The following is a 6,797-nucleotide window of genomic DNA, read 5'->3' on the forward strand; positions in this document are numbered from 1 at the left end:
GGGATAAAGGAAATTAAGACAAACTAGCAAAAGAAGCAAAACGCAGTGGCTGGAGCTGTTCCTGAACAGTAACTATTGAAAACCAGTATTTTTCTGAGTACTTTGGGAAAAATGAAATAAAACAAGCATGTCAGATACCTTTTGGGATATGAACATTTAAAATAGGACATGAACACTTATCAAACCTCAAACTCCAGTCGAAATTATCAGCAGACCATTTTGTTTAACCTATTTAATGTATTTTTGCAAGGTAAAGAATATGATTTAGAGTACAGCTCTCATTATAAATACTTAGAAAGCTTTTCTTAACAGGCTAGCACATTAAAGTATTGAAAGCATTGGCTTAATTTTTTCTTATGGAAATTTTTGAGACCCCTTTAGATTTGCATAAATGTTTAATAGCTTTTTGCAACCAATCAAAATAGGAGTGTCATTGAATTGGAGAGAAATGACCACCATTATTTTTAATTCCTTCTGGAGGTAGACTACCTAATTTAAAGGCACCTTCCAATTTCATTCATCTCTATCCTCAAAGCACAAACTGCTCCTACAACTAAACTGCTTAGCATCAGAAAGACTAGAGTCTCCACTGGGATTCCAGTGTCCTCTTGAATTCACCCCTCCCCATTTCTCAACTTACACAGGCTTTCACATGTCAAATAATTCTCACACTCAAATGATAAAAATATTATTAAATTATTTAAAAACCTGGAGATTATCTCCAGCAGTCATTTTCTTCAAGGAAAAAGAAAAAGGGGAAATGCAAATACTCAGCAGAGAAAACACATTCACACAGCAACTTTGAGTTCCCATGTCACCTGGCTATGTACCATATTCCAGGAGATAGCAGTTCCCTGTTAGTGAAAAAAGGCAACCTTCCCAGGGGAAGGGGGTTGGGAATTGGAGCATTTCCACTCCACGCCTAGTCTTGCAGTTTGGGGAACTCTCATGGGTTCCACTGCTCTTGAAAAAGGAAAACTCACTTGCCCGAATCAGGTAAAATTCTAACCTGACCAACTCTCAAATGTAAAAATACTCTTTCCAGAAAGACAGAACTATCATAGCACTTCCCTCAGTCCAACTGCCAGCAGACTCACAGATACCTATGCCTGGATCTATGCTTGGTAATTTAGGAAAAATCTCAAGAAAAGAACCAAAAACAAAAATATAATGATATTCTGATTTTCCAATGGCTTTTTATGTTTCAGCAGGAAATAAAAATCTTGGTAACATGGATCCACACTGACTCAAGTCTAATTATTTCCTATCAAGACCCAAACGAAGACAGCACTTTCTACCTCCCTTTTTGCCAGCTCATATTTGAGTTCAGCATGGAGTCATCGTCTTGAGACAGACCGCTAATAGTCCTGCAATATTCATCGTGCCCTCCACTATTATTGTAACAGAGTATGAGAGCTTCAGCTAGGTACATGGCCACCCAGAATAAGCACAATTCCCTGCTGGTCATATGACTAATTGCTAACCAATAAAATGGAAACAAAGTGACATGTATCTGCAGCTTCATCCAGAGTCTCATGTGACTGTGTCAGTGTTTCCAACTCTGACGTCTTAAATTCAGCAATATCAGTAGTGATGTTTCACACTATGATAATTGGCATATTATCCTGACTACATAGCACAGAGCCTGGTCCTTCATCCCTCCCTGAATTCTTTGATGCCCTTTTGTAAGCTCCTTTCTTCCTTAAATTAGCCAGAGTTGGTTTATGTTGCTTGCAACTGAGAACGTTGACAGAGAGATACTATTCTAGGCTCTATGTATGAATATACATGTGTAGTCCCTTCCCTGTGGAATCCTCAAGGTCCAAGTATTAGTCGTTGTTTTATTTCTTTAGCCCTTCCTCCCAATGTAGAACCTGCCTATGAGATTAAAGTAATGAGTCAGTTCTTAAACAATTTTACATCTAAGCAACTTATACATCTTAGGACCCCTCCAAGTAGCAAATCTTGGCTCATAACACACTTATTACACTGGTAGTGCCACTGTTTAAAACTTTTTAAAATTGTTTGAGAATTGCCTTGTGCCTGGCACATAATCTTTTGTTTTAGGAAAGTATGTGTTTAAAATCTAAATATTACAAGATGAAAAATCTCCTTCTCAAATTTTTTCCTTGGTTTCCTAGTTTCCATCCCTAGAATTCATGTGCTTCTTAATTCCTTTAAATCCTTCTAGAGATAGTATAGGGGTGTGTGTGTGTGTGTGTGTGTGTATGTGTGTGTGTAAATTATGTATTTATATCCTTTTTTAGCAAAAGCAGTAATACATTCTTATGTACCTAGTTATTTCACTTAATATATACCTCTGGCTCATTCTTACTAATGACAGAATAGTGTTCTAATTAACTGATGCTCCGTAATTACCTAACCTGTCTCCTATTGTTGGATATTTATGTTTTCTCTAATCTTTTCCTGTTGTAGTAAATATTCTGTGCAAGATTTCTTCTGTACTTTTATGAATGTAGCTGTGGGATAAATTCCAAGAAGTATATCCACTTGGTAAAAGGGTACATTCATTTATTATTAATAAATATTTCTAAATTACCCTAAAAAGAAATAGTGTAAAGTACCCTCTTTTCTTTTTCCTTTTTTTCTTTTTTTTAATTGAAACAGGGTCTTCCTCCCTTGCCCAGGCTGTGATGCAGTGGTTGCTGTCATGGCTCACTGCAACCTCGACCTCCCCAGCTCAATGGATCCGTCTGCCTCAGACTCCCAAGTAGCTGAGACTATAGACATGTGCCACCACACTCAGCTAATTTTTGTACCTTTTTGTAGAGATGGGGTTTCGCCATGTTGCCCAGGCTGGTCTCGAACTCCTGGGCTCAAACAATCCACCGGCCTCTGCCTCCCACAGTGCTGAGACTACAGGCATGAGTCATTGTGCCTGGCAAAATTACACTCTTATGCAAATTTTTACCTTTTGAGAATAGGTTTAACTTCTGAAAACTGCCCCAAGTTACTCAAAACCAAGTCTGATGAATAAAAGCATGATTTTCTTAGGTAACAACATTCTCAGTACAGGATGAGCTGTGACTGAAAGTAATTAGATGAGTTTTTTGTTAGTTTGATTTGTAAAATGAGTGTGAGATAAGCTCCAAAAGGTCCAAACATATTTTGAGCAACAGTAGTATCACTCAAGTAAGTGTGCTGCCTCCCAAATGGATACTTTTTTTTTTTTTTGAGACAGAGTCTCTCTCTGTCGCCAGGCTGGAATGCAGTGGCGCGATCCCAGCTCACTGCAACCTCTGACTCCCCGGTTCAAGTGATTCTCCTGCCTCAGTCTCCCAAGTAGCTAGGATTACAGGCATACACCACCACGTCCAGCTAATTTTTGTATTTTTAGTAGAGCTGGGGTTTCACCATGTTGGCCAGGATGGTCTCGATCTCCTGACCTCGTGATCCGCCCGCCTTGGCCTCCCAAAGTGCTAGGATTACAGGCGTGAGCCACAGCGCCCGGCCCCAAATCGATCCTCTTAAAGGAGATGATACTCAGTCAGACAGAAGAACTGGTCTACATAATAAATAATTCTAATTGCATCATAGTCACACTACCTGTAAGATGTAAAAAATCAAATTATGAGACTTGTTGGTATCTGATTTATGCAAATCAACATCATTACCCTATAGCCAGTTTTTTATCTTTTATCCTTGTGAATCCTTGCAATTTCCTTGGATTGAAGATAGCAGTGTATTTCTTCTCTGCTGGAACATAAGAATTCCAGGGAATCTCAGTGCCTTGCACATAATTGTACTTACAGTGTCACAGAACACAGCATGCCACCTGGGAAGTCCTGAAAGTAATCAGTTTGCTTTTCTATTGACCTAAGAAAACCCTTAGTTTCCACGATGTGTTTCCACAGGTCTTTGGTAGAAAGATGAGGCATAATCTGAAATTCATGAATATTCTAATATCATTATAATTAATTAAAATTGCACCAAACAGAGGGTGAATGGTAAGTAAAACTTAAGCAGATGTACAACTAATAATGTTCTAGCAATGCTTAAGAACCAGCTCTCAGGGTGGGGGGAGAAATTCACTCTTTGTTACATTTGCCAATTTTCATACTATAAATGCTCCTACCATGGCTGATTTCAAAACTGTCTACATGACATCAACTAGCTCACAAAATTCCTGAAATTTTAACAATAGGCTCACATGAGTTTGTATGAGCAGACTCTAGTACATCACTGCACAACAACCATAGTACCTTCTGAAGATGTTATGGCATGAAGTTTTTACCTGAAGGAAAAAACTCAAACTCTTCTGGGCTTCAATATATTACACCTCTGACTTTTGTACTACTGTGGATTATCGTGTTCTTATTTCATATATTTTTGAACTCAAACTTTGCTTTAAGCTTCATTATCTTCAATGTACTGTGCATCAAAGCATGTAACTTCAATTTTCATAAAATTATATTTTTTACCTAGGTTGATATGTGAGTCTATTAATGTTTGCTCATTCGACACTTCCTTTCTAACTTTTTCTCTATTTCATAAATACGAAATGGAAAGAGATCAGGAAGCATGTATAAGATCATTTTTCTATATTTACTTAATGAAAAAGTTATAAGTAATGTGAACAAAGGAGTCAAAAGGGAATTCAATACATAGCAATTCAGGACATCTTGATAAATAGGACGTTTTGCAGAGAATCTGCATAAATCTCTGTTGAAAAAACACATTGCTCTTAAAAAGATAATTTTTAAACCATAAAAGTGTTTAAAGATGATTTAACATGCTCATCAGCTCAGTCTGTACATGTGTAAATGTGTATATGCAAGGTGTGAGTATCAAGAAATAAGACTCTGTGGACTTTCTGATAATAGCCTTCAAAGTACTCAAATCAAAAGGATGCACATGTTCAGTTATGCTTCCATTGCCTGAAATATTTCTGGGACTGCCTTCACACCACTGTATAAATCACACAGGAAAATTTAATTCATGCATTCCTTTATAATCACACTTTATTTCAATGGAAAATTAGAACTATTTAACATGATGATCTCCTTTATTCATCAGGCTTAACTCCAAGTGACTTTTAGATATTTCCAAAGATCAAATCTGCCCTCAAAGGTTAAAGATTTATCAACATTCAAACAGATTCCCAAAAAGAAGTGTCAAAAATGTTTTGGAAAATAAAAATAAAAAAATATAAATACAAATAAACTAAATTTTAAAAATGTTTTGAGCAATAGCTGCTTCACTAAAGTAAGTGTGGGGCCTTCCAAGATGATGATTTAGAAGGACACAACCACTATTTGGATGTATATACTCTGGTACATTTGTTTTGAAATTTCATTACATTACAAGAAGCCATGTCACAAAGTGGTCGAAAGCACATATCTGGGAGTCACTGGTAGGTTCAAATTCTGTTTCCGGCCAGGCATGGTGGCTCATGCCTATAACCGCAGCACTTTGGGAGGCCAAGACAGGTGGATCACCTGAGGTCAGGAGGAGTTGGAGAACAGCCTGGCCAACATGGTGAAACCCCACCTCTACTAAAAATAAAAAAATTAGCCGAGCTTGGTGGTACATACCTGTAATCCCAGCTACTTGGGAGGCTGAGGCAGAAGAATCGCTGGAACCCAGGAGGCAAAGGTTGCAGTGAGCTGAGATAGTGCCACTGCACTTCAGCCTGGGCAACAGAGCAAGACACTGTCTCAAAAAAATAAATAAATAAAAATAAATAAATAAATAAATAAACAAATTTTGTTTCTAACATTTCCCAGCCATGTGACCTTGAGTAAGTTATTTATTCTCTCCATGCCCCAGTTTCTTTACCATAATCTATAAAATAAAAATAGTAATACTCTCCCCATGGTATTGTTTTGAGGTTGAAACATGGAAAATATAATTAAAATATGTAGCTGCATGCCTGCAATGTTATAACTATTTGGTAAATAGTAACTATGGTATTTTTTTCTCTTTATTATCAGTCATGTCTCACAAAGCTCTGCATGTCCTTTTTTTCATATGACATTCTTTCTTCTTCCATCTCACCTATTAGAAATCTAGAGGTGCTACTATGCTTTTACTTGATTGAGAAGGTTAAACTGGGCATGCTTGAGTTTCCACCTCAGGTTGGAAAGTAGAGATACTGCAGTAATAATAATTACACACATATAATACAGAAGTGGAGAAAAGTAACACCTAGACAGCAAAACCATATTCCATGACTCAGAGGAATAATGAAATGTAATCAACTCTCATTTTAGTTGAAGATATAGTAGTGGCATTCATTGAACAGAAGTTTCACATAGAAAAAAATTAGCAGTCTCCATATTCTTAACCTCTGCATGTTTACATAGTACCATGAATGCCAATCTCTTGTCCCTGCTCATGTAACATTATGAGCCCTGTTGGTCACTCCATGGCCCCATACCTTGTCTCAAACAATGAAGAAAGCTCTACAAAAGTCAACACATAGGGAAGAGGAGGAATATATCCTGGCCAGGAACACCCCAGGAACAAGCTCTTAGTCTGGTGCACCAAGAGGAAGGGTTGCGTCTGCAGGGAACTGTGTTACTCTCCAAGACACCCCAGAGAGAGGGCTGGAGAAAAACAACTCAAAGAAGCAAGGAGAGACTGTCAGCTTTCCTTGCCTTACTTCAAAGCTGGATTTGCCCTCCTTCTTTAATATAGCCTCATTAAGTGTCCCTTAATATTTGCCCAAAGTGCTAGGCACAGCCCAGTCATATTAGGAACATTCCTTTTCCACTAGGAAATATTTCTAGATATTAACTTCTGGGAAATGATAAAGCACATACATTGCAAATATA

This window comes from Homo sapiens, chromosome 14 (assembly GCF_000001405.40).
Source record: "Homo sapiens chromosome 14, GRCh38.p14 Primary Assembly".
NCBI lineage: Eukaryota > Metazoa > Chordata > Mammalia > Primates > Hominidae > Homo > Homo sapiens.